Below are 27962 nucleotides of genomic sequence, written 5' to 3'. Positions count from 1 at the left end.
ACAGGGTGTGATATGGGTCTTTTCTCATCGACGCCTCTTTTTCCTTCCCTCTCTTAGGCAAACCTTTTAGAGAAGTCAGCTGAGCAAATATGTACAGGTGAATTCAAAGCAAAAGCCTCACAAAGTTGATTTGCCTTAGAGCAAAGGACAGTTCCTTTCTTCAATTCTAATTAGAGGTGTTGGGTTTTTAATTAAATATATTACTGCTGTACTTAGAGGAGTTCTTAAACCTCCAAGTAAAATCAAAAACCTCTTTAAAATCAAAATTTCTGTCTTGATTTATTTATTTATTATTTTTTTTTTGAGATGGAGTTTTGCTCTTGTTGTCCAGGCTGGAGTGCAATGGCACGATCTCCGCTCACCGCAACCTCCGCCTCCCAGGTTCAAATGATTCTCCTGCCTCAGCCTCCTGAGTAGCTGGGAATACAGGCATGCGCCACCACACCCAGATAATTTTGTATTTTTAGTAGAGATGGGGTTTCTCCGTGTTGGTCAGGCTGGTCTTGAACTCCCGACCTCAGGTGATCTGCCCACCTCTGCCTCCCAGAGTGCCAGGATTACAGGCGTGAGCCATCGCACCCAGCCTCTGTCTTGATTTTTTTGAATCACCAGGTGTTGGTATGTTTTGTTTTGTTTTGTTTTGAGGCACAGTCTCACTCTTTTGCCCAGGCTAGAGTGCAGTGGGGCAATCTCGGCTCACTGCAACCTCAGCCTCCCGAGTAGCTGGGATTACAGGTGCCCGCCACCATGCCCGGCTAATTTTTCTATTTTTGGTAGAGACGGGGTTTTGCCGTGTTGGTCAGGCTGGTCTTGAAGTCCTGACCTCAGTGATCCACTCGCCTCAGCCGAAGTGCTGCGATTACAGACCTGAGCCACTGCGCCCAGCCTTGATCTTGAGGTAAGAGGGTACTGTACAGCAGTTACTCTATCATAACACCTAAATAATACCTAAAGTTAAAGAGTTTTGATGAAGTTCTTGGCAGCAGTGCTTTTCCCCTTCTGCTTTCCAAAAGGAGGTAAAAAGAAGCCAGTCAATTTCAAAAACCCCTATCCTGCTTTTATTTTCAGCTACCTTGAAAGTGAGCTGAATCACCATGGAAATGTGCAAATGTGAGGTTTGCATACTTGGTTTTAAGCCCTGAGCACCATATGCTAATCAGGCAATCAGGATTCTGTGCCTCCCTGCAGTCAGTTGCATTTCTATTTAAAAGTGCATTTTGGTTTGGAAGCCCCTTTCTGGAGCCTAACTACCAAAAGGCAGCAACTTTTTGTATCATTACAAAGAAAGCTGTGTAAGTGCACTCCCAAGCAAAGGTGTGGTAGGAGAGTAGCAGCCACAGAGGACCCAAGCCCAAGTCTTGGCCTGAGTTAAGTTAGTGCTATTGCTCCCATTGACGTGCTATGATGTGAAGCCGTTTCTGGTACAGTGTTCCTTTGCTCAGCACCTTAAAAGCTTGGATTTAATAGTAACTGGGTAACCTTAATCAGTAGTCAGAATTATCAACACTTTGCTTTATTTGACACAACCAGACTTTCTCAGTTCCTGTTCTGTATCTAGAGCAACGTCTTCATACTGTTTTTTCACAAAATTTTTATTTAAAACAGTTGTGACAGCCGAAGGATTTTTTTTTTTTTTTTTACAAAATTAAAATGAAATAACTTGTACAACTGGTGCGTACCATGGCTCCAGCCAGATGCCCAAAGCACTGGCTATTAATTCCTGGAGTTCAGATGGTCAGTTGAGTCTATCCTAGTTTTTTGCTTCACTTGTTCAATCATGGAACTTTCTAGAACGCTGCCACTCTTCAAAGGCTTCTCAATTTCAAATTTGAAAACTTAATTCTCTCCCTCTTAGTTTCAAAGTTGTTACAGTGTTATCTATGTGAAGTATGTGGAAAGTTGGGGGCTGGGGATTTTCCTCCAGGCAGATTAAGAAACAGCTCTCCGGGTCGGGCGCTGTGGCTCAGGCCTGTAATCCCAGCACTTTGGGAGGCTGAGGCAGGAGAATCGCTCGAACCCGGGAGGCGGAGGTTGCAGTGAGCTGAGATCATGCCATTGCACTCCGGGGCCTGGGCGACAGAGCCAGACGCTGTCTCAAAAAAAAAAAAAAAAAAAAGGCACGGTGACTCACACCTGTAATCCCAGCACTTTGGGAGGCCAAGGTGGAGGGATCATGAGGTCAGGAGTTTGAGGCCAGTCTGGCCAATACAGTGAAACCCCATCTCTACTAAAAATAAAAAAAATTAACTGGGCATGGTGGCGGGCGCCTGTAATCCCAGCTACTTGGGAGGCTGAGGCAGGAGAACCACGTGAACCTGGGAGGAACCCCGGAGGTGGAGGTTGCAGTGAGCCGAGATCGTGCCACTGCACTTAAGCCCAGGTGACAGTGTGAGACTCTGTCTCAAACAAAATAAATACCTCTCTAGTGAGGTGGCTCACGCCTGTAATCCCAGCACTTTGGGAGGCCAAGGCGGGCTGATCACTTGAGGACAGAAGTTTGAGACCAGCCTGGCCAACACGGTTAAACGCCACTACTGGTGGCGGGCACTAGTAGTCCCAGCTATTCAGGAGGCTGAGGCAGGAGAATTGCTTGAACCCAGGAGGTGGAGGTTGCAGTGAGCCAAGATCATGCCACTGCACTCCAGTCTGGGTGACAGAGCGAGACTTCCTCTCAAAAAAAAAAAAAAAAAGGCCAGGGGCGGTGGCTTATGCCTGTAATCCCAGCACTTTGGGAGCCCAAGGCGGGCAGATCACCCGAAGTCAGGAATTTGAGACCAGCTTGGCCAACATGGTGAAACCCCGTCTCTACTAAAAATACAAAAATTAGCTGGGTATGGGGTCACGCGCCTGTAGTCCCAGATTGCAGTGAGCCAAAATCACACCACTGCACTCCAGCCTGGCGACAGAGCGAGACTCCATCTCAAAAAAAAACACCTCCGAAAATTTGGTGTCCTTTACTAATAATTCTTGGGAAGTAGAAAAAGGATATACGTAGCAAGCTTTTGTTCCCACACTATACTTGGTTTCTAATTTGCAGTTCCCTTCTTGACCTGCATAGAATAATAGTTATTTTCCATTGGGAAATGAGAAATCTTCAACATTGAGGTAAGTTAGGATTTTTTTTTTTTTAAGAGGTGGGGTCTCACTCTATTGCCCAGGCTGCAGTGCAGTGGGACTATCACGGTTCACTGCAACCTTGAACTCCTGTGCTCAAGCAATACTCCCACCTCAACCTCCAAAGTAGCTGGTACTACAGGTACCTCACCATGCCTTGTGTTTTGTTTTGTTTTGTTCATAGAGATGGGGTCTTGCTATATTGCCCAGGCTTGTCTATTTAGCAGGAGCTCTAGGCAGCCAGATGTTGAGAGTGTCTTCATTTTTCCATTACATGACAGTAGACTGCTTATTATGTATCATGAACTGTTAGATAATGGAATTATAAAGAGATCATTCTTCCCCTTAAGAAACTCAAAAAAAGAGGCCGGGTGCGGTGGCTCACGCCTGTAATCCCAGCACTTTGGGAGGCCAAGGCGGGCGGATCACAATGTCAGGAGTTCAAGGCCCGCCTGGCCAATATGGTGAAGCTCCGTCTCTAGTAAAAATATAAAAATTAGCCAGGTGTGGTGGTGGACTCCTGTAGTCCCAGCTACTTGGGAGGCTGAGGCAGAAGAATTGCTTAAACCCGGGAGGCCGAGGTTGCAGTGAGCTGAGATTGGGCCCCTGCACTCCAGCCTGGGAGACAGAGCAAGACTCTGTCTCAAAAAAAAAGAAAAAAAAAAGAAACTCAAAAAAAGATTGGGGAATAGTTCAAAAGAAACATGACAACTAACTACACATGTCAAAAAGCTATAAAGGACATGGGGACATTTGCGGAAATTTATGGATTGTATGTTACTACTGTATCGATGTTAAATTTCTTGAGTATTATACCTTGTTTTTAGGAGATGCATGCTAAAGAATTTATGCATAACGAATCCCATAATGAGAATGCAAATGTGGCTAGATGTTAAAGTTTGTGATCTAGCTGGGTGCAGTGGCTCATGCCTGTAATCCCAGCACTTTGGGAGGCTAAGGCAGGCAGATTGCTTAAACCCAGGAGTTTGAGACCAGCCCAGGCAATATGGTGAAACTCCATCTCTATAAAACATAAAAAAAATTAGCTTGGCATAGTAGCACGTGCCTGTGGTCCCAGCCACTGGGGAGGCTGAGGTGGGAGAAACGCTTGAGCTTACGAAGTCGAGGTTGCAGTGAGCTGAAATTGTGCCACTGCACTCCAGCCCAGGCAACAGAGTGAGACCCTATCTTAACAAAAAAAGAAACACACACACACACAAAGTTTACAATCTAGTAAGAGTCATAGACATGGACAGAAATAATTAGAAGGCACTGTACAAAGCATTGTAGGGTTGGGAAAAAGCAGGGTGACAACTTCTAGACGTAGAGGGTGGTAAAGAAGGCTTCATAAGAAATGTGAGGTTGGACCTTAAAACATGAGTAACGAGGCTGGGCACGGTGGCTCATACCTGTAATCCCAGCACTTGGAGAGGCTGAGGTGGGTAGATCACCCGAGGTCACCAGTGTGGCCAACATGGTAAAACCCCATCTCTACTAAAAACACAAAAATTTGATGAGCGTGATGGTGCACACCTGTAATCCTAGCTTCTTGGGGGGCTGAGGCCGGAGAATCACTTGAGCCCGGGAGGTGGAGGCTGCAGTGATCCGAGATCATGCCACTGCACTCCAGCCTGGGCAACAGAACGAGACTCAAAAAAAAAGATGAGTAAGAAACACGTACCAAAGCATGGAATTGGGAAAGACCCTCTGGGTGTATGGAGATGGGAGAAGCAGGGATGGACTGTGTAGGTAATTTTCTTATTCCATCTTCCTTCCCTGCCTTCTTTCTCTGCTCGCCGCTCTTGGTCAGTGAATACTGTATGACTTCAGTTTTTCCCATCTCAGGCCTTATATAAAAATATTAGAGCCAGGCGTGGCGGCTCATGCCTGTAATCCCAGCACTTTGGGAGGCCGAGGCAAGCAGATCACCTGAGGTCAGGAGTTCGAGGATAGCCTGGCCAACATGGCGAAACCCCATCTCTACTAAAAATACAAAAAAATTAGCTGGGCGTGGTGGCTTATTCCTGTAGTCCCAGCTACTCGGGAGGCTGAGGCACCAGAATCACTTGAACCCGGGAGGCAGAGGCTGCAGTGAGTCATGATCACGCCACTGCACTCCAGCCTGGGTGACAGAGCGAGACTCCATCTCAAAAAAAAAAAAAAAAAAAATTTGGCCAGGCACAGTTGTACGTACCTATAGTCCCAGATATTCTGGAGGCTAAGGCAGAAGAATCACTTGAGCCCCGGAGTTCAGGGCTATAGTGTGCTACGTTGATCTGGTGTTCACGCTAAGTTCTGCATCAATATGGTGACTTCCTGGGAGTGGGGGACCATCAGGTTGCCCAAGTAGGGGTGAACCTGCCTAGGTTGGAAATAGAGCTGGTTAAAACTCCTGTGCTCCTCAGTAGTAGAATTGCACCTGTGAATAGCCACTGCTCTCCAGCATGGGCAACATAACAAGACCCTGCCTCTTAAGATAAAATTTGGAAAACACTGATAGGAAAAAAAGGCTCTTTGGTCTAAATAAGTCTGGACTGGGTATAAATGACACACAACTGGATGGACTGTGTTTAGGAAGTAGAAAAGACTCAATTGCTTCCTGTATCATGTTAAAGTGGTGACCCTAAACACACAATCTCAGGATCATAGCCATCTTTGGATCTAGACTGAAGGAGTTGGCATTGGCAGGCCTGGTTTGAATAAAGTTGCTCTTTTAAGAGCATCACCTAAGGTAGGTCACTGGAGCCTCACTGGTCCTTCACCCTCTAGGTTTTACATAGTCAGGGAAAGGAACCAAGGTTTTGCCTAAGAGCACTATGCTGTCTGCAGAACAGAATTTTAATAAGAGCTTCCAAAAGTTATTTAACTGGAACCCTAAGATACTGAATGGTGGCTTCCACTCTCCCTGATCCTGTTCCCGTGGGAGACTCAACTATTGCTATTCCCATCCTGATTCAAAAAACCAGTTTGCTCTAGCTGCCCAGACTTCCCCACAGGCTGCATTCTTGCCCATGAGCTCATTGTTTTGGCTTCTTTGCCTGTATAAGTCTACTGCCAGTGCCAGAGGTCTCAGCCCGGGGCCCCCTAACTAGCTGGGGCTGCATTCCATTCAGAATTTCACCACCCCCACTTGGTGTTCTTCCCGCCCTCATGTGGTCACATGTGTATGTTTACTCAAGTTAGCCTGGGACAAGGTGTGCTGGGATAGAGAGCCAAAGAAGCAGAGAAGGAAAAGAATGTTTAACTGTTAGGTTTCATCCTGGATTAGATTTCAGTAAAAATGCTTTCAGTTCTGTGCCCTAAAAAATGTTAATTTTCTTGTCTGGTAGGAGGAGCTGGTTTTGAAAATTTTGCTATACATTTCATAGTCTACCCTACTGGGCTGGTTATGACTCTCAGGTATTCAGATTTGAAGGCGAGAATGCGGTTAATTCTCCCTGGGAAACACCGCATTCACATGCATTTTATTCCTGAAGCTCCTATGCCCAGATCTATCAGGCCTGCCTTTCTCAGCTCACAACGCCATCCTTTAGGTTGCCTGGAGCAGTTCCCACCGTCTCCGGCCCTTGGTGGAAATGGGGGGAGGGGAGACAGCTGGCCTGCTGCAAGGGAGCAGCTGTTCGGTTTCACTGCTTTGTTACTGAACTTTCCTGAGGGGAGGATACCTTGTTTATTTCCTTTTGCATGAGAGCCCAAATCTAAGGAAAGTGGGGCACACACCTCAGGTGAAGGGCTATGGGAAGAGCATTTCTCTTACTTTGCAGAGTTTTGGATTAATACTAGATGCTTAAGCGGTATACTCCTTTCCTCCACCCCCCTCTTCTTCATCTGTAAAAACAAAACCAAAAAACAAAACTGCAGGCTGCGGCTGTGGGAGGTGACTTTTTTTCATTTCTCAGAAATCCCTCATGAGGCAAAGCAGAGAAACAGAAAGAGGGAAACAACTTTGTGTCAAAATGAGGTTGTGTGTGTGTGTTTTGAAATGAGGTGGCTTGTTGTCAGCTTTAAGGAACAACAGCTCTGCAGAGGAGCCTGGTGATGGCGGGGAGGAGTGCTGGGCTACCTGCTTCCTTGCCCCTTGCCCCACTTCAAAGCTGGGTAGTTGGGGTCAGGTATGAAACAGGATGGAAGTCGCTGTATCTTCCTTTCCCCATCATGAACCATGAAAGATGTATCAGTGCTACTGTATGAAAGAAAAATTTGACCAGTCGCGGTGGCTCATGCCTGTAATCCCAGCACTTTGAGAGGCCAAGGCGGGTGGATCACCTGAGGTCAGGAGTTTGAGACCAGCCTGACCAACATGGCAAAACTCTCTCTACTAAAAATGGGGGTGGTGGTGTGCACCTGTGGTCCCAGCTACTTAGGAGGCTGAGGCATGAGAATTGCTTGAACCTGGGATGCAGAGGTTGCAGTGATCCTAGATCGTGCCACTGCACTCCAGCCTGGGCCAGTGAGACTATGTCTCAAAAAAAAACTTAGTAAATGCTTGTGGCTTACCATTATACATAAGCCTATGTTTGCAAGACAGTGTACCTTAAACAAAGACCAGGAATACTGTCATTTCCTGGACCCAGGAAAATTGGCCAGGCGCAGTTGCACGCGCTTGTAGTCCCAGATATTCTGGAGGCTAAGGCAGAAGAATCACTTGAGCCCTGGAGTTCAGGGCTATAGTGCGCTATGTTGATCTGGTGTTCATGCTAAGTTCCGCATCAATATGGTGACTTCTTGGGAGTGGGGGACCACCAGGTTGCCTAAGGAGGGGTGAACCTGCCTACGTTGGAAATAGAGCTGGTCAAAACTCCTGTGCTCATCAGTAGTAGAATTGCACCTGTGAATAGCCACCGCCCTCCAGCATGGGCAACATAGCAAGACCCTGCCTCTTAAGATAAAAATTGGAAAACACTGGTAGGAAAAAAAGGCTGTTTGGTCTAAATAAGTCTGGATTGGGTATAAATGACACAAAACTATCATGAATTTGAAAGCATTTCTAATTTCTTGAAAGTCTGAAAAAGTTTAAACAGAATTTTAGCTGAAAAGTCCTGAAAGACATTTGAAAAAAAACAGCAAGAACACTTAAAACTATTCAAGGTTTGGGCTGGGCACAGTGGCTCATGCCTGTAATCCCAGCACTTTGGGAGGCCAAGGCAGGCAGATCACTTGAGGCCAGGAGCTCAAGACCAGCCTGGCCAACATGGCGAAACCCCTTCTCTATTAAAAATACAAAAATTAGCCAGGCATGATGGTGCGTGCCTGTAGTCCCAGCTACTCAGGAGGCTGAGGCAGGAGAATCACTTGAAGCCAGGAGGTTGCAGTGATCCGAAATTGCACCACTGCACTCCAGCCTGGGTGACCAAGCGAGACTCTGTCTCAAAACAAAACAAAACAAAACAAAACAAAAAACTATTCAAGGTTTGGATCATTGAGGCCAAAATTATTTTGATAACAAGATGCCCCGTGTGAATGAAACTGAGTAATAGAAGGCTCATGGCCAGTAGTCGTAGCTACTAGGGAGACTGAGGCAGGAGGATCACTTGAGCCTAGGAAGTTGAGGCTGCAGTGAGCTGTGATTGTGCCACTGCATTTCAGCCTGATGACACAGCAAGACCCTGTCTCAAAAAAAAAAAAAAAAAAAAGAGAAAAGAAGGAAGCCAGGCACCCCATAGGCCCAGCTATTCAAGAAGCTGAGGCGGGAGGATTGCTTGAGCTTAGGAGTTCAAGTCTAGCCTAGGCAACATAGTGAGACCCTGTCTCTTAAAAATATACATATAATTTTTAAAAATTCTTTTATTTTTACATAAATGGAAACAGGGTCTCACTGTGTTGGCCAGGATGGTCTTCAACTCCTGGACTTAGGTGATCTCCCTGCCTTGGCCTCTCTTAAAGTGCTGGGATTACAGGCGTGAGCCACCGTGTCTAACCAAAAATAAATTTTTAAAAGTGTTTTTGGCCAGGCGTGGTGCCTGTAATGCCAACACTTCGGGAGGCCGAGGCGAGTGGATCACTTGAGGTCAGGAGTTCGAGACCACCCTGACCAACATGGTGAAACCCTGTCTCTATTAAAAATACAACATTAGCCAGGCGTGGTGACACATGCCTGTAGTCCCAGCTACTTGGGAGGCTGAGTGAGTAGAATTGCTTGAACCCGGGAGGCGGAGGTTGCAGTGAGCCGAGATCACACCATTGCACCCCAGCCTGGGCAACAAGAGCAAAACTCCATCTAAAAAAAAAAAAAAAAGTGAAGAAACTAGATCTGAAGCCTTAATTTTCTCCCCTATAAACAGGACTTAACGATACTGTCAGCTATCTTATTACCGCAAAGATTTAAAGAGAGACTATTGATACACGTGCTTTGTGCTTTTACCTTAAAGCACTACACAAATAGAAGGAGTTTCAGGACTGTCCCTTAAGGGTTTACTCTATTAACCATTTTCAAGTCCTTAAATTCCCTAGGAGAAGCAATTAAGAACCAGGCATCAGTAGAGTATGTTGAATTAAAAGGTTCTACAGCTGTATTTTGAGGCCTGGAAGAGACACAAACAGGACTTTCTATGGCTAGGCAGAGCAGAAGTCACCAGTTAGGAAAAATCCCCAGGGTCAGAAACCACCTCCCTGCCAAATTTGCCCTGCTGCCTGTTTTTGTATGGCCCACAAGCTAAGAATCATTTTGGTATTTTTAAATGGTTGAAAAAAATGGGCCGGGCACAGTGGCTCATGCCTGTAATTCCAGCACTTTGGGAGGCTGAGGTGGGAGAACTGCTTGAGCCTAGTAGTTCAGGACCAGCCTGGGCAACACAGTGAGACCTTGTCTCTACAAAAAAAAATTTTTTAATTAGCTGGGTGTGGTGACCTGCACCTGTGGTCCCAGCTACTTGGGAGGCTGAGGCAGGAGGATGGCTAGAGCCCTGGAGGTCAAAACTGCAGTGAGCTATGATTGCGCCCCACCCCCGCACTCTACCCTGGGCAACAAAGCAAGATCCTGTCTCAAAAAAAAAAAAAGAAAAATTTAAAACTTTAGTGTCACAAGTCTGATTGGAACACAGCTACGCCCATTTGTTTACTTATTGTCTATGGCTGCTTTGTGCTGCTACAGTAGAGAAGCTGCAACAGAGATGATAGGTCCTGCAAAGCCTAACATATTTATCATCTACTCCTGTAGAGAAAAAGTTTGCCCAACCCTCTACTAAAGCTAAAGAGGAGTCTCATTTTGTGATGAAAGAGGCAGGCAACCAATAGTCAACAGTAAGGAGGAGAGGAATGTAGCGATGGGAGAGAGGAAGGGTGACCTTGTTCCAGGGGAGATGATCTCTGCCTGTCTCATCAAGGGGAGGGCCTTTTAGCCTAGGGATCCCAGGGGTACAGTCTGCTCCTTTTTTTATAATCCCACCCTCTTTCCCCCAGTTTCTTTTCCTCTTCACTCAAAGTTCAGTGGAGCTATCTCAAGAGATTCAGGTAAGGCTCAGAAGAGTACAGCACACAAACATGCCGACCCAACCTAGCCTTCCTCCCCCAGCACAGGGCTCTTCCCAGGCCTCTCAGCACAGCTCTCCAGTGCTCACAGGAGAAATGCTCTGCTCTGGCCAGCTTCCAGCCAACTCTGCACCTCCCCTTCAGCTGGCAGAGCTGATGGCTCCCTGGCATCTGACTGCCATATCTCGTGCATACCTTGTTTTGGACTAATCTTATACATTCCTCCCTCAAATCCTTTCTTCCTTCAGACTCAGCCCTGAAACACCCTCTTGAGTTTTCCCAGTCTCCTAGGTCAGGAAGCCCAAAAGTCAGATTCAGGGTTTATGCTGGCTACTTTGAGGTTAACCCAAACTTTTTCTGTCTCTTGTTGACAGACTTAGACTTAGGTACTTTCCTGAGGCTTTCTACTTCCTTTAGACGGTGTCTCTGCCCTTTAAAGCTGACAGCTCTTCATCACCTACCTGTGGCAAACCACCTCTACTTGAAACACACACCTCCCCAAACCATAATTTCTACGGTAGCATGATTCTCCATGGTTCAAAGAGAGGAGAGGGCTTCCTGGGTCAGTTTACTCTGGTGGGGAAGATGCTAACATGAAGTCTCTATTTGTAAACCTGGGGACAAGGGGAGAGCAAGGAATGAGAGAGGGTCTGGCTGGAGAGAATCTGGAGGGAGGCTCTCCTGGCATCTTGTTCTCTCTACACCCCACCACCCTCCATGTCCATCTAGAGTCTCCCACCAGAGCTCTTCTCTTACAGGTTTCCTGGGAGAAGGTGGCTTAAGGCTGAGACACTTATGCCCTGGGCCAGCCACTGGATTCCTGTGCTCTGCTTCACTCCTAGTTACCAGAAAGGTGGAATCTGGATGAGTGGAGGTGAGGAGAAGGTTCAAACTCTCCACCAGACCCATGCTGCAGCTGTGAGCACCTGCTTACAGGGAGGCCTGGGGGTTGGGGAAGTCCAGGAGCTAAATTTAGTCCAAAAGCTGCAACTTAAATTGGGTGGGTATTTACCCTGGGGAAGCTGGGAGGGGGAGGGGAGAGGAATCCTGACCCAGCTGAACTTGTGAGAGCACAGATCACCCCTAGTGTCACTGATACTCAAACCACAACCCCCTCCCCCAGCACACCCTCAGAAAGGAGGCATCCTCAACAATTTGCAGGCCTTTTGCATGCTTGATCTCTCTTGTGCATATCAAGTTTGTTCCTATCACCACCCCACCCTCATCTCAATTCTCAGGGGTCCAGTTCCTCTGAGTCCTTCCCTAAATTCCCACTAGTGCACCAAACCCAGGGGCCCTCCCCACATTCCTCTGCCCTCAGGCTGCAGCTTCTGCTCTCCCAAGTCCCCCCAGAGGGTTTCAGAGGTCAGCGAACAGGTGTCTGGCCACACTACTCCCCTCTACGGGGCCAAGAAAAGGGATTGCTTGGGGTCGGGTTCCCTTTCCTGAGAACTTCCGCATTGACCCCATAATGACCTCAGTGACCAGAGGAAGGAATCCTTAGGGGCTGCACTGAGTCCTAGCTCTAAAATAAGAGGGGAAAGGGAGCAGACCCCCAGAGGAGAGCCCACCTCCTGAGAGGTCAGAGGCTGGAGGCCGAGAGGGAGCTCATGGGCGGGCAGAAAGAGAAAGGGGGTGCTGAAGCCGGGGAGCCCTGCGAGGGGCTGCGACCGCACCTCCACCTGCGATTGGTTCTCAGGCTCAGGGCAAACGCCAAACCTGCCCAGCAACAGCCCTGAGCAGAGGGAGGGGAGCTTCGGGGAAGTCAGCTGAGCCGGCACCGCCCAGCTCTGGGCTTCCAGGAATCGCTGGGAGGGCCCCAGCCTCCACCCCACCCCTCCCTGGGTCTCAGGACTCTGCCTTCGGCCTTCTATACCTACTGGGCGGGCTCGGATCCCGTTTCCCTGGCCCCCCACATCTGTGATTCCCTGCTGAGGCCTCTTTAGGCTCAGCAGAGACGTTGGAACTGGGCTTTCCTTGTGGCCCCCTTTCCTCGCTCCCTGCCCTGGGCTGACGTCAGTTTTATCTTCCTTCTCCATTCCCTTTTGCCTCCTTCCCCACTCGCTCTCCTCTTAAGATGTCCAAATTCTTCCTTCTCAGCCACTTTCAACCCAGAGAAAGCCCGAGTCCCAAAGCAACAGGAAGATGTGCGGGGGACCGCGAGTGTGGGGACATCCTGCCGCCTCGGGCAACTCTGTCGTCCCCCACAGGGTTCAGGTGCTCAGAAAACAGCAGCCACTGAGTTCACTGTTTCCGCAGGCCCCGTATTCCCGGCCGTGCTCAGCTGGGCTTGTGGAGTCGCGAGCGGGGGCGCTCCTGCGGCACCGCCCCTCCTGGGCAGCCCGGCTTCCAGGAGAGACTCGGCCTCAGTCTCCGAATGGCAGGGGTCTGGGAGAGGATGTGATGGCAAAGGCCTGCCCCTCTCAGGCCGCCTCTAGCAAGTTCTCTACCTTGAGAGAAGCGAGTAGGAGGAGGAAGGAGGCCAGGCTGAGCCATCTCTGAGGAATGTGGCTTTGGCAGGACATCCAGTGCTGCCCCGCTCCTCCCTCAGCCCCGCCCAGGGCCCTGGAGCCGGGCCGGGCTCCTCCTCCTCCAGGGGAAGGGCTCGGGGCAGGAATCCCTTCCCTTTCCCCACCCCAGAAGAAGCCCCAGAGCGTAGGGATATGCGTACGGCAGAAAGGGAGACAGAAGGCAGGGCTAGAGAAAGGGAACAGGAAAAAAGAGCTTCGACAAGCCAACTGCCCTTCGCTCAGGCCCCAGCGGAAAGGCGCAGATACCCGGAGACTTCCCAGAGAGACTCGACCCACCAAAAAGCGCACCGCGGCCGCGCAGCCCTTCCTTCAGCTCTGGAACCCAGCGCCCCACACCTCAAATGGGAGAACTGGTGACCTCTAGTGGCCCATGACCAGCCTGCAGGGCCTGGGGCTGGCGGGGATTCTCTGACCCAAACTCTCCTGGGCTCTAATGCTGTTCCCCTGCCCACCCTACCTTCTGCCTTCACACTGCTGAGGGGTCCATAGCCGACAAGGAAGAGCTCATTTCTCATTTGTCATGACCATCTTTAATAAAAAATAAATTAGTTCTGGGTGGGAACCATTTCAGGAGGCAGGGAGTGGGGCTAGGGGCTGGGCGGGGTGGTGGGGGAGCGGATGCTCACATTTCTCTTTTTCACCCTCTGCCCAGCTGGGCCTTGCTCTGGAGAGGCAGTCTCTTTCCTCCTGCCTTCCTGAGTAAGGCAGGATTGGCAGTGGCTGACCCCAGCCCTAGCTAATTAGGGAGGCAGGGGCAGAGATACTAGGCAAATGAGAAGGGGTCAGAGACACAGGGCGGCTTAGAAGATGTGAGGTCTGAACATGAGAAATGAGGCTTAGGGCACAAAACTGGAGTTGGTGGGGAGACCACACTCTAAGTAGCTCAGATTAGCAAGGAACTGCAGACTTGCTTTCCTTTCCACCTAGGAAAGTCTCAAGGAAACAGGTCTTGTCCTTCTCAGTCTGTGTAACCTCTTTTTGAAAAGTGATACACGTTTGAGCACACACATATCCATGCAGTCCCAAAAGCACACCTGAGGCATATGTGCACACACCCATCACACCACCACATGGGCCTGACCACAGCCCTGAAAGTCACTTTGTGTCAGTCACCTTGCCACCCTCTGTCACCTGGAGGACATCCCTGCTGAGACTGGGACAGGCTGGAGAGCCAGGGGGTTCAGAGTGGGCCGATCAATGGGTGACCGATGGTGGCACAGAAAACCGTGAAGGTGCCCCGGACCCCTTTCAGGAGGGATCCTGGGGAGACCGCTCCAGGACATGTGCGCAAGAGCGGCAACAGGTGGCTGTGTAGTAGGGGTAGACGCAGAGCCGGGCCTGTACCACCAGGGGGCAATGTGGAGAGCTGTCCTTGCATTGATCATCTGGGGACAGAGGAGGCCAGTGGGCACAAGAGAGTCACCAGGACCCACCCGTCTGGGAATGGGTGTGCTGCCCATTCCCACTGGTCCTTTCTCATCTCCTCCCATACTTCAGCTAATCCACTGTATTGGGGATTGGGGAGAGGGGGCTCTTTACCAGGGCGCTGGCTGCAGGGTTGGCTGTTACAGGGGCGCTTCCTGGAGGGCCGCAGTTGAGGAGGGCATCGGGTGCTGAGGGTCTGGTTGGTGCTCAGGCACTGGACCTCCCGTGTCTGCGTTCCCCCTTGGCAGGAGCGAGAACACTGGGGCGACCCCAGCCATCATATCAGACCTTTGCCAGGCCCGGGATTCTCCTTAACCCCTGGCTGCCACCTCTCTCCCCAAAAGGTGGTGGTGGGGACCCTCCTAGGACATTGTGAAATCCCAAATGGAGAGGGCCCATCTTTCCTCCAAGTCTATAAGAAGTAGGACAGTGGTAACGCTTGGCTGGGCTTATTCTGGGGCACAGAGAGACCTGGAGGGGGTACAGCGAGAGGAGCTCCCCTCCCCTAGGGGCCCAGGCTGAGCAGGGCAGGACAGCGCAGCCAGACACTCACTGGGCTCCAGGGCGTGGAAAACCATCGGTCCTGGCAGGCCTGCCCTTGACAGGGCTGCAGGGCAGGGGGCCTGGGGAGGTGAGAACAGTTGCTCGGAGAAGTCACGTTGAACTCCGTCCCCAGTTTGGATACACAGATGATGTCTCTACGCTGTGTGCCAGAGCCACATTCGGAGGAGCACTAGTGTAGGGGGAGGGCAGGGTGATGAGGGGAGGGGAGGACAGAGAGCACCCCAAGTGCCCACAAGGAATCCCACTGGGACTGGCACCCCCTTCCTGCTCTCAGCAGGCGCTCAGCTTACCTCACCCCAGGGCCCTGTGTACCAGCGCCAAGTTCTCTCACAGGGCCCCAGGCTGCAGGCGCGCATGTCAGGGGGCCGGCTTCCTGTTGGACAGCTCTGCCCAGTTCCTGCTCCTGCTTCCCCCTGGCCTGGCCCGAGGGCTGCCCCACTCCCAAGGCAGACCACAGAGCGCCGCTGGATTCCCGTCCCACACTCGGCTGAGCACTGCGGAGGAGGAGAGCGGCCTGTGTGAGGGGCCTGCTGGTGACTGGCACAAGGGACAGTAGGGGGGCAGGGAGGGACGCATCCTGGGTCCGAATCCTGGGTGGTTGGGAATGTCCCCGGGTACCAGGCCCGGACGAGGAATCCTAGCCGGGCCCCTCATGGAAGTTGTTCTCACTTATCTCTGAGTTCCCAGGGTCAGGCATATAGCAGGCGCTTGATCAATACAAGTTTATTGAGCTATGCTGGAAAGGCTGAGGTGTCCTGGGCGTGGTTACCCAGGATGCAGGATATGGCTGGGGGTTCCGGGCTCACCTTGGAGCTCCAGTCGCTGTGGAACCAGGCAGTAGTACAGGGCCCCATGTCACAGGCCTCTCTGCTGGGGGGCTGCGGGGGGCCTGACGCACACTCCTGCTCGCTCACTTCATCACCATTGTTCCCAACACAGCGAACCTGCCGGCTTCTCTGGCCCCGGCCGCACCGCACGGAGCACTGAGGGGGCGAGGGGAATCCAGGGAGCTGGGCTTCCCAGACCTTCTCAGCCAGCTTCCAGCTCTAGGCTTCAGAACCAGGCTCTGCCTTCGATCCCCAGCCCAGCAGTCACATGGCTTCGTGGGCTGAGGAGGAGGCTGAGCCCTAGGGCCCTGGGCCCCCAGTCCCTGGTTCAGTCCCTTATCTGACTTCTATATTGGGGGTCCATATGAAACCCTGTTTGTAAATAGTTTCTGCTGATGAAAAAGAAGTTGAAAAACCACTGCTGTTGTTCACCTGTGCCCATTCCCCTCCCCAGCACCTCCTTGCCTGGGCAAACTCACCTGGCTCCAAGGAGAGCCAACTTCCCAATGGCCACAGAGGCGCAGCTGGCAAGACTGGGTGATGTTGGGCCGGGGGAGATGTCCACAGCGCTCCGGGGGCACCGAGGAGCCACCCCCCCCAAATTCCTGCCGGCACTGCAGCTGGCGGTGCTGGGTGCCGGGGCCACAGGAGCGGCTGCAGGATGTCCACTCGCCAGCCTCCCAGCTGCAGGCACCAGCAGGGCAGGGAAGAGGCGGAGACATAGATGAGATGTGTGGGGCTGCCGTGGCAGCAGAGATGGAAGACACACTGGACGTGGGGGCCTCAGAGGAGAGTGGGCACGTTTGGCGTTTGGAGTCTGGGTTCCTGGGGGGCTCAGCCTGCCATGGCTTTCTTGCTGCCTACCGAATGTCTGCCTTTCTAATCTAATGTTGTCTCTCTGCAGCCAGGAGATGTTGCGTTGAGTGCAGAGTTCAGGTAAGATTCTGGGGGCAACTGCTGTGTTTCCAGTACCCTAACCCTCCCCGTGGGCTCCCCCATACTCACTATGGGGGGCATGGGGTGCCGTGGCAGGGTTCAGGGGAGGCTGGGGGCCTGGCACCCGCGGCACAGCTGCGTTCATCCAGTTCCTCTCCCGACTCACGGGAGATGCAGAGGAAAATGGGGCGCCAGACACCTGAGTGGGTGAGAAGGCAGCCAGGGAGGCAGGAGGCTAGAGCCCAAGCTCAGTGGTGTCCCAGACGCAGGGTCGGGCGTGGCCCCACAATCCAGGATGCGGGAGTGTCAGTTGGGGGGTTTGGACCGAGATGCGGGGAACGCACTGTGATGTCTCACCTTTCCCGCAGGACGCTGAGCATGCAGAGTGTCCCACTCGTTTCCAGTACGCAGCTGGAGACCCCAGGGGTGTCCTGGGATGGGGCGGGGCGGGCATCTGGGGGATCCGCACCTGACGCTGGAGGGTGCCTGGGGTCCGGGCTGGGCGGGGTGCCGGAGCAAGTGGGGGCTCCACCCTCAGAATCTCTGTGCAGGGGAGCAGGCGAATCAGATGCCACCCCACTGCCCCGAGCCAGCCCTGCAGCCTCTCCCTCCTCCTTCCAAGTGCAGGGGTCAGAGTCTTACCCGGCTGAAGCTGGGGGACAGGGGGCTCTGGGGTGGGGTTCTCAAGGATTGGAGGAGGTGAAGAGATGACATACTGATAAAAAACGCCTGGGTTTTCCTCCTGAAAGATCATCTGGGGAGAAGAGAAGATAATGAATATGTGGGGGTGGCCAGAAGAGGATGCCACCAGCTCTCTCTCCCATCTTGACAACCACAGCTCTGCCCAGAGGGAACAGCCTCCCTCCCCAGCATTCAGCTGCCCCTGGCCCCAGGCTCACATAGACATCCACAGGCTGGGTGGTGGGGCCTTCAGCCGACAGACTCTCCCCTTTGCCCTCCTCCCTGGGAGGACGGTTATATCGAAAGACGGTCCCGCCGGCCCTGTAGGACCCAGGGGGATCCACAGCCCAGTTCCCATTGATGATGGACCGGCCCCCAGGGCCACGAAGTGCTGCGGGTCAGAGGTGAGAGATCGGGAAATTCCAGGGTGATAATACCTTCCTCCTCCCACACCGTGTCCTTAGCCTATAGAAGCTCCCACCAGAACCTAAGATCCCCCCAAGCCCTCTCAGCTTCCTCACTCCTTCCACGAGGGGAGGGGCTAGGCCCTGGACTTCCCCCTGTTTGGCTTGCTCACTGCTCTGAGTAGGGGTATGGAGGGCCGAACAGAGACGGAAGTGGAAGGGGAGGCAGCTGGGTGCTCACCCAGGTAGTTGGAGCTAGGCCGGAGCTGGGCAATCTGGAGCCGCAAGGCTCCCGCTGGAATCCACAAGATCTTCTGATAGCCCAGGGGGCCCCCTCGGTCAGTGAGGTTCCCCGAAACAAGGCGACAGGTAGAATCATCACCCCCACAGACTCCACAGCCATCAGGACGCCTGCCAGAGCCAAGGATCCCATCACAGCCGGGGCTCTGGAGAGAGTGAGGTGAGGCAGTGGCCACAGAACGCCAGACACCACCTCAACCCCACCCCGGTCCCCTCGGGAGCCTCAGCTCACTACCCTGCTTTTTGTGCCACAAGTGAGAGCACAAAAACAGCCCCACCATCCCCAGCCAGACCCAGGGACATGGACAGGTGCCCGATCAGATCCTTCAGGCTCTGCTCAGCGCAGCTTGGCAGGTGAGAATTCTCCCTCAGTGATCTCAGTATGGTGTTTTGTTGTTGAATTGAGACTGTGCAAATACGTGTGTGTGCATGTGTGCATGTGTTCATGCATGTGTGTCTACATGTGTGTGCATGTGTCTGCATACGTGTGTGTGCATGTGTTCATGCACGTGTGCACATGTGCATGCATGTGTCTGCATATGCATGTGCATGTGTGTGCATATGCGTGTGTGTGCGTGTGTGTGTGTGCGTGTGTGCATGTGTCTGTGCGCATATGCGTGTGTGTATGTGCTTGCATGTGTGCATGTGTTCATACATATGTGTGTACATGTGTATGCATATGGGGGCATGTGTCTGTGTGCATATGCATGTGTGTGTGCACACACACACTGTCTTCCCTCACCAGACAGCGTCCAGCCACACAGATGTCAGGGGCTCCAGGCTGACACAGGGTCCCATCCTGGACCTTTTCAGTGTGACGGACATAGAAGCGGAAGCCACGGGGCCGGCAGTTCAGTTCACAGCGCTGGGAGCCCTGGACTAAGGGACAGGGTAGAAGGGTGGTTAGTGGGCTCCCTGGTGGGAGGTTAGCTGAGAGAGGCCCCAGAGGGGGCACCTTGAGGTTGCCCAGGTCACTGTGGATGAAGGAAATGTGACAACAGCACAAGCTGAGGTGGTCAGGGCCGGGCGCAGTGGCTCATGCCTGTAATCCCAGCACTCTGGGAGGCCGAGGTGGGTGCATCATTCGGTCAGGAGTTCAAGACCAGCCTGGCCAACGTGGTGAAACCCCATCTCCACTACAAATACAAAAATTAGCCAGGCGTGGTGGCACATGCCTGTAGTCCCAGCTACTCGGGAGGCTGAGGCAGGAGAATTGCTTGAACCCAGGAAGCAGAGGTTGCAGTGAGCTGAGATCGTGCCACTGTACTCCAGCCTGGGTGACAGAGTGAGACTCTGTCTCAGAAAAAAAAAAAAAAAGGTGGTCAGGTCAGTTGAGGTCACCGAGACCATCAAGGGGACTCTGAACTGAGAGAGGAGCAATCCCTGATGCCCATGATTCTGTGTGTTCAGAGCTCTTGAGTGCTTATCCCGGTGTCAAGTTAACACAGGCCTAAAATGAAGCGGATGGTAACCTGGGAGCAACCGATACGACAGTGCCCAGGATGCGTGGCACACCCCCACCTGGCTGTCACGGCTGGACAGGATCTCTCCCACCATGGCCCTCTTGTGTCACAGCCACCTGACCCCCAGTGATGGCCTTCCCAGGGGAGTCCGGACAAAGCGTGTCTCCCACACCTCCTCCTCCCACCCCGACCCTTCTGCAGACCACTCACCACCTGTGCTGTCTCCTGACCCAGCCCCAGGGAGAAGAAAGAAGGCATGGCGCAGGGGAAGCAGAGGGGCTGGAAGTCATTCAGGGCTGGGAGTAAGCAGGTATCTCCTCTCCCCTTCATCCCCAATTCCAAGCCACCACTGCCCAGGGGTGAGCAAGAAACCTCACCTTCAGTGAAGGGCTCCCACTGATACAGCTGGCCCATGAATTCCTGGGAGTTAAAGGCTGCGCACTGCAGGGCCCGGGGGTCTGGCTGCTCAGGGGGGCAGGGCTGCGGTGAGGGGTACAAAGGAGTCAGAGCTGGGGAGCAAAATGAGGGTAGGGGCAGGGCTGAACCTGGGGAGCAGGTGGGAGGCTCAGGTCAGCGGAAGAGCTCCAAGACCCCTGCCCTGAGGTGGTCAGATGCCAAGGCCCTTCTCCCTCAGGTGCCAAGCGGAAGCTGAAGACCCAGCTTCAGGGCAGGGAAGCCACACTGGAGGTCGGGGTTGGGAGGGGAGGCCCGAGGAGACTCACCGCTTGGCTGCAGGCTCTTAGCTGTTCACTCTCCCCAGAACATCTTGGAATAGGGCTACTGGGAGCAAAGAGGCTCCAGAGGGAGCTGGCATGGGGGCCGTTGCTCAGCAGGGGCAGCCAGGCGCCCGGGTGCTGAGGGTCAGGCTCCAGGCGGGGCCCGTGAGGAGTCCCCCCCGTTCCCCAAGGCCCTTGGCCCTGCTGGCCTCGGCCCCGAGGGACCGAAGGAAAAGGATCAGGGCGTCTCCCTGCTACCTGGGGACTGGCCCAACCCTGGGAACTTGGCCTTCGTGGCTGAGGGGATGCACGGAAGAAGCCACCTTCTCCTAAGGAGTGCGTGGGTGAGGGGGGCTCTGTGCCAGAGGCCTGGGCTCTGGGGTGATGCCGTAGGGGGGCAGGCCTGGTTCTGGGGGCCACCTCTGTCTGAGCAGTTTCAGGGCTTAGAGGTTCTGCTTGGGGGGATGGGGTGTGGACAGACAGTTCTGTGGGAGGGAGCTCAGTTTGGGGGCTGCCGTTTGCGGAGAATGGCTCTGCTCTTGGAGTAGGGGACGGAATAGCCTCTTCCCCTCTAGAAGAGATCAGGGACAGCTCAGATCTGGGTGGGCTCCGAGGGTGCCTGCGGTTCCGGTGCAGTGGCAATGCAAAGGGCACTCTCCCATAACCGAACATTCCTGGCTTGATGGGGTCTCGAAGCCGGGACCTGAGAAGGTGTTTCAGATGTGGGGGCACAGCTCTGACCACCTCTGACCCTGTTTCCCCAGTTTACTTCCTGGCACCAAAGACAAGCCCTCTGAAGCCACCCGTGCTCCCCTTTCCTTCATGCTAAGCCCCCACCTTGCCCAAGGCCCACCTCTTCCACCCAGGCCTCTCACCTCCTGGCCGCTCGAATCTCCTGGGTCTCCTCTCTCCCTAGGTGGGAAGCGGGACCTCGAAGTGGGCCACCCCTTCCCCGAGACTGTGTCCTGTACAAGGGGAGGGTTTCTGGAGAAGTCTGGGGTCTGGGACCCTGGCCCCGGGGGAGGAGGGCTTCTGGATGTCTTGGGGGCCGGGGAGGGAGGGGCAGACTCGGGTGGAGCTGCACTGTAGGGAGCTGACATGTCCGGCTCCTGCGCTGCACCCCCACCCCGCAGGGCTGGGAGCAAGAGGCCCACTGGACCCAAGGTCCCCAGACACCTTCGGGGCCCTGGCCCTCCTCTGTAGGTGTCTGAAGAGAGTGTCCGGACAACACCTATATAGAGAAAAAGGTCAGACAGAATTGGAAGGATTAGAGGGAACTGTCCAGAGTGTCCATGTAGACCAACACTGAGGCTCACGGAGTCGCTACCAGTCCAAGGTCACATTCAGCAGCAGAGGGAGAACTACACCTCGGCCTCTTGGTGTTATGAGGCAAGGAACTGGGGAGTTGGCAGGGGAGGTGGGTGGGCTGTGGGGAATGGAGGCGTGGCCTGGAGAGATGGGGTGGGAGCCTAGGGGGAGATGAAAGGGTGGCAGGCAGGCTGCAGCTGCTCACTTGTCCAGAACTCACCTCCTGATCCAAGCAGAGCTGAGGGAGGGACAGAAGCAGCAGCAGATACAGCCAGGGCCTGCAAACCAAAGGCCAGGGGAGGGACGTCAGACTGGAGCCAGAGGGGGTGTTGCAACACTGCCCTCCGCCCCCAGCCGGCTCCCATATCCTGACTACCAACTTCTCAGAAAGCAGAAGTTACTCATCACTTCCCCTGCCCCTCCCAGTGGTCCCCTTTCCCTCACTTCCAGACACAGAGCCATCCCAGCACCTCCCCTTTTCCTCCCCCCCAACCCGTGGCCCCTTCTCTCACCTGCCAGTCCAGTTCTCCATCGCTCCCCCTCTACTGCCCCAGGGGGAGGCAGGAGCGGACTGGTCACAAAAACTACGCAGGCATCTGGGCGTGGAGGGTGCTCTCTGCAGGGACAGAAGCCTGGTGGTTACCTCTCCAGTGTCCAGAGAGCTTGGGGCTGGGAGGACAGCTCAGAGAATATGGAGGAGGGGGTGAAACTGGTCCATCCCTTTAGGATCCTCAGGGTGGGAGCAGGGAGGATCACTGCCTTGTCCATCTGTAGAGGCTACATGGTCAGGGGCTGACCTCAGCCCTCCAACTAAGGCTCAGTCCCCACCTCTGGGCCCTGTAGGGGCTTCTTAGCTCCTCCCCAAATCCTACCTAGGGACTGTTTCTAAGCCGGCTCAGGCACACACAAAAGGCTTTTTTTTTTTTTTTGAGATGGAGATCTCACTCTGTCATCCAGGCTGGAGGGCAGTGGTGCCACCAAAGCTCATTGCAGCCTCAAACTCACAGGCTCTCCTTCCTCAGCCTCCTGAGTAGGTGGGACTACATGCGTGCACCACCACACCCAGCTAATTTTGGTATTTTTTGGTGGAGATGGGATCCAGCTAAATTGCACAGGCTGGTCTTGAACTCCAGGCCTCAAGCGCTTCTCCTGCCTTGGCCTCCCAAAGTGCTGGGATGACAGGTGTGAGCCACCGCACCCAGCCAGAGGGCTCCTTCTAAAATGGTTGTCATCTGCTCCCACTCCTGCCCTCCCAGAGGTGCCTAGAAAGTAGAGGAGGAAGGCTCCACTGAGGATGCGCCAGACACTCTCTCTGAGGACCCACCAGAAGCCCCTTCCTTGGGTCTTCCAGACACAAGACCTTCCCCAGTCATCTCTCTGTCCTACTTGCCTCCCGGCTTTCTCTTCCCTTCTTAGATAAGCTCTTTAGGGAACATCCAGGCACATCTCATACACTTTTTGGCCAAGGGATAAGCTAAATGGGTTGACGGTTTAATCTCTAGAGAAGAAGCCGGCAATGTAACACCCACTCTGGGTGCCAGCATCTGGAGTTGGTTCAGTGAGGGCTTGTTTCCTGTGCGTCTCTACCAGCTGGGGAAGCGGGAAGGAGAGGTGCAGCCGGGGCTGCCTCATGCCCCAGCCACAGGCCTCTCATTCTGAAGAGCCGGGAAGTCCATCTGAAGTTCAGCTTTGAACACTGGAGAAGTGAGGCTTGGAAGCCACCCCAGCCACCAAGCCTGACTCTCTTTGCCCCCTTCTTCTCACTTTGAGTCCTTCCCACCCCTGCTCCTCATCCCACTCTTAGTTCTGCTTTCCAGGAAAAAAAAAATCTGTTTCTGTTGGATCTGAAAGGCACCCGGGAGAGGAATCCAGGGAGCCCTCGCATTGCTGAGGTGGGCCAGCTCTGGGGCAGAAAATGACCAAGAGAAGGGTAGGAATGTGCCTGGGGGCAGACACTCAGCCCCACTGCCCTCCCTGAGACCTAGGGTTCGGAATTTGAGGGAGGGGTCAGAGTGGCTGAGCCAGAGCGGGCGCCTCAGGGATTGGGGTTGGGGTGGGGGTTGCCGATGGCCACTCCTTCCCCTGGCTGGGCCGGCCACTAAGGTCAGCAACTCCACCCTGACTGAACGGGGGAGGCCAGGATCTCCAGAGAAGGGCCCATGTTCCACCCAAGTCTTCAGGCTCTGCCTGACTCTTGTTACTCCAGCTGAGGGAAGAAGAAATGGGGTGATAGTCACTGCCTGCCCCTTCTCTGATGCCGACCCCTCTTCATGCCCTCTCTGCCTCTGCTTCTCTCTGCCACCGAGATCTCTTCTCGCAGCCCCTCTCCACGGGTCTACCCAGTACACATAATCCCATCCCGAGCTGGGTTTGGCTTTGGCAGTTCCCTGGAGAAGTGAGGGGTGGGGGTGACGTGAGCTCCCGGGGCCCGGGCCAGGCCTGGCTCCCTCTCTGGAAAAGTCCCACCCCACCCTCCCCTGCGCAGCCCGGCAGGGGCCCATGCCCCCTCCTCTGCAGAAACACACGCACATTTATGCTTCTCACCCCTTTCCATGTCCCTCATTTGGTGTCGTTCCCGGCCCAGGACGAGGAAAGGAGAGGTCAGAGGTGGTCACTCTGGTGCCAGAGTAGACCCTGGTCTGGACAAACGCGGGCTCCTCCTGGCCACACCTCTCCACACTGCCCAGTGAAGACCAAGGAACAGAGACCTGCGCAGGGCTCACCCCTTCACCCCCAGGTCTCCCTGCTGGAGAGTGGTTGGACCCTGTGTTTCTGGGCCTAGCCATGGAGAATCCCTGTCCTGAGTCCGAATTCCCGGGCCCTCAGAGCCCTCCACTCCTGGGTCTGGCAGGCCACCCCAACAGGTGTCTTTCTTTTTTGTCAACCTCTTCTGCCATCGGGCTGAGCTGGATCAAGGGCACCCACCTGCGTCCCTCGCGGCGACCCTGTCCTCCAAGTTCAGGAGTGCAGTGGGGGACACACCGTCCGAGAGCACCCTCCTAGAGAGAGGGCAGGAGGCACCGGCCGCGCGGGGAGGTCATGGGTCTGTTTTCCAACTTTACTATGTGACTTAGGAGGAATTTTGGTTCACTCCCCGCCCGGGTGATGGGGCCAGAGTTCCACGGGATCAGACTCCCTCCCCAGGAATTCGACCCCAGGGGCTGGAAGATTGTCCGAGGCCACCGGAGCTGGGTCCGGGGTCGTGGCGGGGTCGCGACCGCACAGCGCAGGGAGAGGGGACGACGCGGGCGCGCGGGGCGGGCGGTCTAACGGGACCCGGGAGAGGGGCGGCCGGGGCCGGGGTCCCGGGGAGGTCTCTACCTGCTCTGCGAGCCCCCGGTGGCCCGTTAACCCTTCTGCGCCCAGGCGCTCTCTCCAGGCAACCTCGCTCCGCGGCGGCCACTGGGGCCCCTGAGCCGCGCTCCGGTCACGGCCGCCTCGGCCGCAACTCCGCCCTCGCGCCCGCCCCCGCCCAGCCCCGCCCGCCACGCGCCCCAGCCCGCGCCCCTCGGCGGCCCCGGGGTGGGGCCGGTCTGCCTCGCAGCCCCACTCGCCAGGACCACCCACCCCGGGCTGCGCGCCGGGCGCCCCCCGACGGCTGCGTGAGCTGAAGCCCGGGCTGGCCCAGCCGGGGTCGGAGGCTGCAGTCGCTCCCGGGCGCTGTCCTCGTGCCCGGCCGAGACTAGGGACTTAAGCAGCCCGGGCTGGCCCAGCCGGGGTCAGAGGCTGCAGTCGCTCCCGGGCGCTGTCCTCGTGCCCGGCTGAGACTAGGGACTTAAGCAACCCGGGCCTCCGAGCCGCTCGGGTGAGCGGTGCGAACACGGCGCGGCGCGGCGCGGCACAGGCGGGGCAGCCTCCAGGGGCGCCTGGAGCGAGGCGGCCTGGGAGAGCCGCTGGTCCGGGAGGGAAGCGCCCTGGACGGAGGTACCCGCGGCCCCCGATCCGCGTGGGTCCAGGCTCTCCCCTCCACGCAGCCTCCCCTGCAAACTCAGTCACTCCTGCCTCTCCCGTGTTGGGCAGTGGTGGTTCAGATTGCTGGGACTTCTATGAGCTTCGGTTTTTTTCCTCAGTAAGGTTTTACACTCGGGACTCAGCGAAAGGACAGCGTGCTGACTTCTGAGTCAGACTGATCTGGATTTGAACCTCAGCTCCAGCTCTTGCCAGCTATGTGGTCTTCGACGAATACTTCCACCCCTGTGTGGTGCAGTTTGCTCATCTGCAAAATGGGACTAATCTAATATATATGATGGGCTTGGATATGTCTCTTTATGCATTTATACATGGAAGAATGCACCCCAAACTCAGTAGTATTGGTGACATCTGGGGAGGGATGCAGGGTTGGGGGAGGACTGAAAAAGGCTTTTGCTTTTTACTCTGCGTTATGTTTATTATTATTATATTATTATTTATTTATTTTTTTTGAGACGGAGTCTCACTCTGTCGTCCAGGCTGGAGTGCAGTGGTGCTATCTTGGCTCACTGCAAGCTCCGCCTCCCAGGTTCACGCCATTCTCCTGCCCTAGCCTCCTGAGTAGCTGGGACTACAGGCGTCTGCCACCACGCCCGGCTAATTTTTTGTATTTTTAGTAGAGACGGGGTTTCATCGTGTTAGCCAGAATGGTCTCGATCTCCTGACCTCGTGATCCGTCCGCCTCGGCCTCCCAAAGTGCTGGGATTACAGGCGTGAGCCACCGCACCCAGCTATGTAATGTTATTTTTGTGAATTTTTTTAACCACAAGAGCAATCCATCTATTAGTTTTATCTTTTTTTTTTCTTTTTTTTTTTGAGATGGAGTTTCACTCTTGTTGCCCAGGCTGGAGTGCAGTGGCGCGATCTCGGCTCACTGCAACCTCCGCCTCCCAGGTTCAAGTGATTCTCCTGCCTCAGCCTCCCAAGTAGCTGGGATTAGAGGCATGCGCCACCATGCCTGGCTTATTTTATATTTTTTAGTAGAGACGGGATTTCTCCATGTTAGTCAGGCTAGCCTCCAACTCCCGACCTCAAGTGATCCTCCTGCCTCGGCCTCCCAAAGTTCTGGGATTATAGGCGTGAGCCACCGCGCCTGGCTATTATTTATTATAAATAATATATGTAAGCTGGGCATGGTGGTGAAAGCCTGTAGTCCTAGCTACTCAGGAGGCTGAGCGGGGAGGATTGCTTGAGCCCAGGAGTTTGAGGCTGCAGTGAACTATGATCGTGCCACTGCACTCCAGCCCCTGCGACAGAGAGAGACCTCGTCTCAAAAAATAAACACATAAATAAATAAAATATGTAAAATGGCTGGCATAGAGTAGACAATAAATGGTCACTGCTATTTTTATATTTTACTTTTTTTTTTTTGAGAAGGAGTCTTGTCCTGTCACCCAGGCTGGAGTGCAATGGCGCCATCTCAGCTCACTGCAACCTCTGCCTCCTGGGTTCAAGCCATTCTCCTGCCTCAGCCTCCTGAGTAGGTGGGATTGCAGGCACGAGCCACCACGCCTGGCTAATTTTTTGTATCTTTAGTAGAGATGGGGTTTCACCATGTTGGCCAGGCTGGTCTCGAACTCCTGACCTCATGATCCGTCCGCCTCAGCCTCCCAAAGTGCTGGGATTACAGACATGAGCCACTGCTCCCGGCCTATATTTTTACTTTCTATTTACTGACGCGTTGTATTTTGTTGGGTCTACTCAGTGTTTTAAAGGTTTTTGTTTGTTTGTTTTTTGTTTTTAAGACAGGCTAGTTTCAAACTCCTGGGCTCAAGAAATCCTCCTTCCTTGGGCTCCTAAAATGCCGGGATTACATGTGTGAGCCACTGGGCCCAACCTAAAGGCACATTTTTTTTTTTTAAATAACTTGTCAATACGTATTTTAAAACCTGGATATTTTAAAATTTCTCTTGAAAAACTAAAACACAAAAATAGAAGCTCTAACAACATTGTCCTGCATCCTCACAAAATATCAGAGGTCTTTGGTTCCCCACCTGTCATTTTTTGGGCGCCTTTTGCACTTGGTGTTGAAGAAGCAGCAAGAAGTCTCTGGCCTCAAGGAGTTGGGTCTGATCAGGCACAGACACGGCAGGTAATGGGGTCATGCGAAGGTTAATACTGGGCTCAGCTGAAGGAGATGTTATCTCTAAGAAGATGATGGATATGAAAACGTAAAATGCTTTCAAAATGTAGGAATTGGGCCGGGCGCGGTGGCTCATGCCTGCAATCCCAGCACCTTCGGAGGCCAAGGCGGGCG

General features: G+C 53.9%; 2 protein-coding genes, 2 long non-coding RNA genes, 1 other non-coding gene and 2 pseudogenes across 25 annotated transcripts, besides 17 other annotated features; 4 read left to right on the top strand and 3 right to left on the bottom strand.

Annotated features, from left to right (window-relative positions):
• On the top strand, positions 5-13662 carry ADAMTSL4-AS1 (ADAMTSL4 antisense RNA 1). The gene is made up of 4 exons (NR_104133.1): positions 5-433; positions 736-898; positions 11340-11455; positions 13335-13662. It is a non-coding gene; the product is annotated as an ADAMTSL4 antisense RNA 1 (long non-coding RNA).
• On the top strand, positions 5288-5586 carry RN7SL600P (RNA, 7SL, cytoplasmic 600, pseudogene; annotated as a pseudogene).
• Positions 6037-6748: an enhancer, noted in NCBI's record as "H3K27ac-H3K4me1 hESC enhancer chr1:150540285-150540996 (GRCh37/hg19 assembly coordinates)". NCBI's record gives its function as "activates a minimal SCP1, AML or CMV promoter by ChIP-STARR-seq in primed H9 embryonic stem cells {active_cell/tissue: H9 hESC(primed)}" and the evidence as "EXISTENCE:reporter gene assay evidence [ECO:0000049][PMID:30033119]".
• Positions 6749-7459: an enhancer, noted in NCBI's record as "NANOG-H3K27ac-H3K4me1 hESC enhancer chr1:150539574-150540284 (GRCh37/hg19 assembly coordinates)". NCBI's record gives its function as "activates a minimal SCP1, AML or CMV promoter by ChIP-STARR-seq in primed H9 embryonic stem cells {active_cell/tissue: H9 hESC(primed)}" and the evidence as "EXISTENCE:reporter gene assay evidence [ECO:0000049][PMID:30033119]".
• Positions 6850-7239: an enhancer, noted in NCBI's record as "active region_1696". NCBI's record gives its function as "activates an Ori minimal core promoter by ATAC-STARR-seq in GM12878 lymphoblastoid cells {active_cell/tissue: GM12878}" and the evidence as "EXISTENCE:reporter gene assay evidence [ECO:0000049][PMID:35858748]".
• On the top strand, positions 7697-7995 carry RN7SL473P (RNA, 7SL, cytoplasmic 473, pseudogene; annotated as a pseudogene).
• Positions 11059-11912: an enhancer, noted in NCBI's record as "H3K27ac-H3K4me1 hESC enhancer chr1:150535121-150535974 (GRCh37/hg19 assembly coordinates)". NCBI's record gives its function as "activates a minimal SCP1, AML or CMV promoter by ChIP-STARR-seq in primed H9 embryonic stem cells {active_cell/tissue: H9 hESC(primed)}" and the evidence as "EXISTENCE:reporter gene assay evidence [ECO:0000049][PMID:30033119]".
• Positions 11111-11160: an enhancer, noted in NCBI's record as "active region_1695". NCBI's record gives its function as "activates an Ori minimal core promoter by ATAC-STARR-seq in GM12878 lymphoblastoid cells {active_cell/tissue: GM12878}" and the evidence as "EXISTENCE:reporter gene assay evidence [ECO:0000049][PMID:35858748]".
• Positions 11431-11710: an enhancer, noted in NCBI's record as "active region_1694". NCBI's record gives its function as "activates an Ori minimal core promoter by ATAC-STARR-seq in GM12878 lymphoblastoid cells {active_cell/tissue: GM12878}" and the evidence as "EXISTENCE:reporter gene assay evidence [ECO:0000049][PMID:35858748]".
• Positions 11913-12764: an enhancer, noted in NCBI's record as "NANOG-H3K27ac-H3K4me1 hESC enhancer chr1:150534269-150535120 (GRCh37/hg19 assembly coordinates)". NCBI's record gives its function as "activates a minimal SCP1, AML or CMV promoter by ChIP-STARR-seq in naive and primed H9 embryonic stem cells {active_cell/tissue: H9 hESC(naive and primed)}" and the evidence as "EXISTENCE:reporter gene assay evidence [ECO:0000049][PMID:30033119]".
• Positions 11913-12770: a biological region, named in NCBI's record as "NANOG-H3K27ac-H3K4me1 hESC enhancer GRCh37_chr1:150534269-150535120".
• Positions 12591-12770: an enhancer, noted in NCBI's record as "active region_1693". NCBI's record gives its function as "activates an Ori minimal core promoter by ATAC-STARR-seq in GM12878 lymphoblastoid cells {active_cell/tissue: GM12878}" and the evidence as "EXISTENCE:reporter gene assay evidence [ECO:0000049][PMID:35858748]".
• Positions 13561-13750: an enhancer, noted in NCBI's record as "active region_1692". NCBI's record gives its function as "activates an Ori minimal core promoter by ATAC-STARR-seq in GM12878 lymphoblastoid cells {active_cell/tissue: GM12878}" and the evidence as "EXISTENCE:reporter gene assay evidence [ECO:0000049][PMID:35858748]".
• ADAMTSL4 (ADAMTS like 4) lies at positions 13620-25149 on the bottom strand. 20 transcript variants are annotated; one of them, XM_047422824.1, is made up of 21 exons: positions 25058-25149; positions 24662-24735; positions 24281-24415; positions 22249-23942; positions 21957-22014; positions 21304-21659; positions 20435-21131; positions 20090-20192; positions 19923-19991; positions 18992-19128; positions 18191-18395; positions 17764-17936; positions 17507-17618; positions 17222-17407; positions 16934-17063; positions 16408-16612; positions 15908-16084; positions 15392-15595; positions 15091-15270; positions 14652-14796; positions 13620-14497 (listed from the first exon to the last, which is right to left on the bottom strand). In XM_047422824.1, the coding sequence occupies exons 4-21, from the start codon at positions 22266-22268 to the stop codon at positions 14361-14363; spliced, it is 3294 nt and encodes a 1097-aa protein (XP_047278780.1). In that variant the 5' UTR covers positions 22269-23942; positions 24281-24415; positions 24662-24735; positions 25058-25149; the 3' UTR covers positions 13620-14360. The 20 variants fall into 20 exon arrangements, with proteins under 20 accessions (XP_047278780.1, XP_047278776.1, XP_016856995.1 ...); XM_047422820.1 differs by having other exon boundaries at positions 24281-24735; XM_017001506.3 differs by having other exon boundaries at positions 22249-22352; positions 24281-24735.
• Positions 14550-14719: an enhancer, noted in NCBI's record as "active region_1691". NCBI's record gives its function as "activates an Ori minimal core promoter by ATAC-STARR-seq in GM12878 lymphoblastoid cells {active_cell/tissue: GM12878}" and the evidence as "EXISTENCE:reporter gene assay evidence [ECO:0000049][PMID:35858748]".
• Positions 16833-25993, top strand: ADAMTSL4-AS2 (ADAMTSL4 antisense RNA 2). 2 transcript variants are annotated; one of them, NR_187269.1, is made up of 6 exons: positions 16833-16864; positions 17873-17949; positions 18340-18409; positions 18505-18603; positions 19825-20022; positions 25807-25993. It is a non-coding gene; the product is annotated as an ADAMTSL4 antisense RNA 2 (long non-coding RNA). The 2 variants fall into 2 exon arrangements; NR_187270.1 differs by lacking the exons at positions 16833-16864; positions 25807-25993 and adding an exon at positions 21632-21818 and having other exon boundaries at positions 17854-17949; positions 19914-20022.
• Positions 21895-22764: an enhancer, noted in NCBI's record as "H3K4me1 hESC enhancer chr1:150524269-150525138 (GRCh37/hg19 assembly coordinates)". NCBI's record gives its function as "activates a minimal SCP1, AML or CMV promoter by ChIP-STARR-seq in primed H9 embryonic stem cells {active_cell/tissue: H9 hESC(primed)}" and the evidence as "EXISTENCE:reporter gene assay evidence [ECO:0000049][PMID:30033119]".
• MIR4257 (microRNA 4257) lies at positions 22543-22628 on the bottom strand. Its single transcript, NR_036211.1, has one exon. It is a non-coding gene; the product is annotated as a microRNA 4257 (primary transcript).
• LOC124904417 (uncharacterized) lies at positions 23207-24267 on the bottom strand. The gene has a single exon (XM_047438226.1). It carries the CDS (start codon positions 24265-24267, stop codon positions 23497-23499), a length of 771 nt encoding a protein of 256 aa, XP_047294182.1. The 3' UTR covers positions 23207-23496.
• Positions 23254-23943: an enhancer, noted in NCBI's record as "H3K4me1 hESC enhancer chr1:150523090-150523779 (GRCh37/hg19 assembly coordinates)". NCBI's record gives its function as "activates a minimal SCP1, AML or CMV promoter by ChIP-STARR-seq in naive H9 embryonic stem cells {active_cell/tissue: H9 hESC(naive)}" and the evidence as "EXISTENCE:reporter gene assay evidence [ECO:0000049][PMID:30033119]".
• Positions 25279-25418: a silencer, noted in NCBI's record as "silent region_1302". NCBI's record gives its function as "represses an Ori minimal core promoter by ATAC-STARR-seq in GM12878 lymphoblastoid cells {active_cell/tissue: GM12878}" and the evidence as "EXISTENCE:reporter gene assay evidence [ECO:0000049][PMID:35858748]".
• Positions 25589-25738: a silencer, noted in NCBI's record as "silent region_1301". NCBI's record gives its function as "represses an Ori minimal core promoter by ATAC-STARR-seq in GM12878 lymphoblastoid cells {active_cell/tissue: GM12878}" and the evidence as "EXISTENCE:reporter gene assay evidence [ECO:0000049][PMID:35858748]".
• Positions 25589-25964: a biological region, named in NCBI's record as "Sharpr-MPRA regulatory region 6123".
• Positions 25670-25964: a silencer, noted in NCBI's record as "tiled region #6123; HepG2 Repressive non-DNase unmatched - State 1:Tss, and K562 Repressive DNase unmatched - State 1:Tss". NCBI's record gives its function as "represses a minimal TATA promoter and a strong SV40 promoter by Sharpr-MPRA in HepG2 and K562 cells {active_cell/tissue: HepG2 | K562}" and the evidence as "EXISTENCE:reporter gene assay evidence [ECO:0000049][PMID:27701403]".

This window comes from Homo sapiens, chromosome 1, assembly GCF_000001405.40.
Source record: "Homo sapiens chromosome 1, GRCh38.p14 Primary Assembly".
Lineage (NCBI taxonomy): Eukaryota > Metazoa > Chordata > Mammalia > Primates > Hominidae > Homo > Homo sapiens.
Note: the sequence above shows the minus strand (reverse complement) of the source record. Positions and strands in the feature narration are given on the sequence as shown.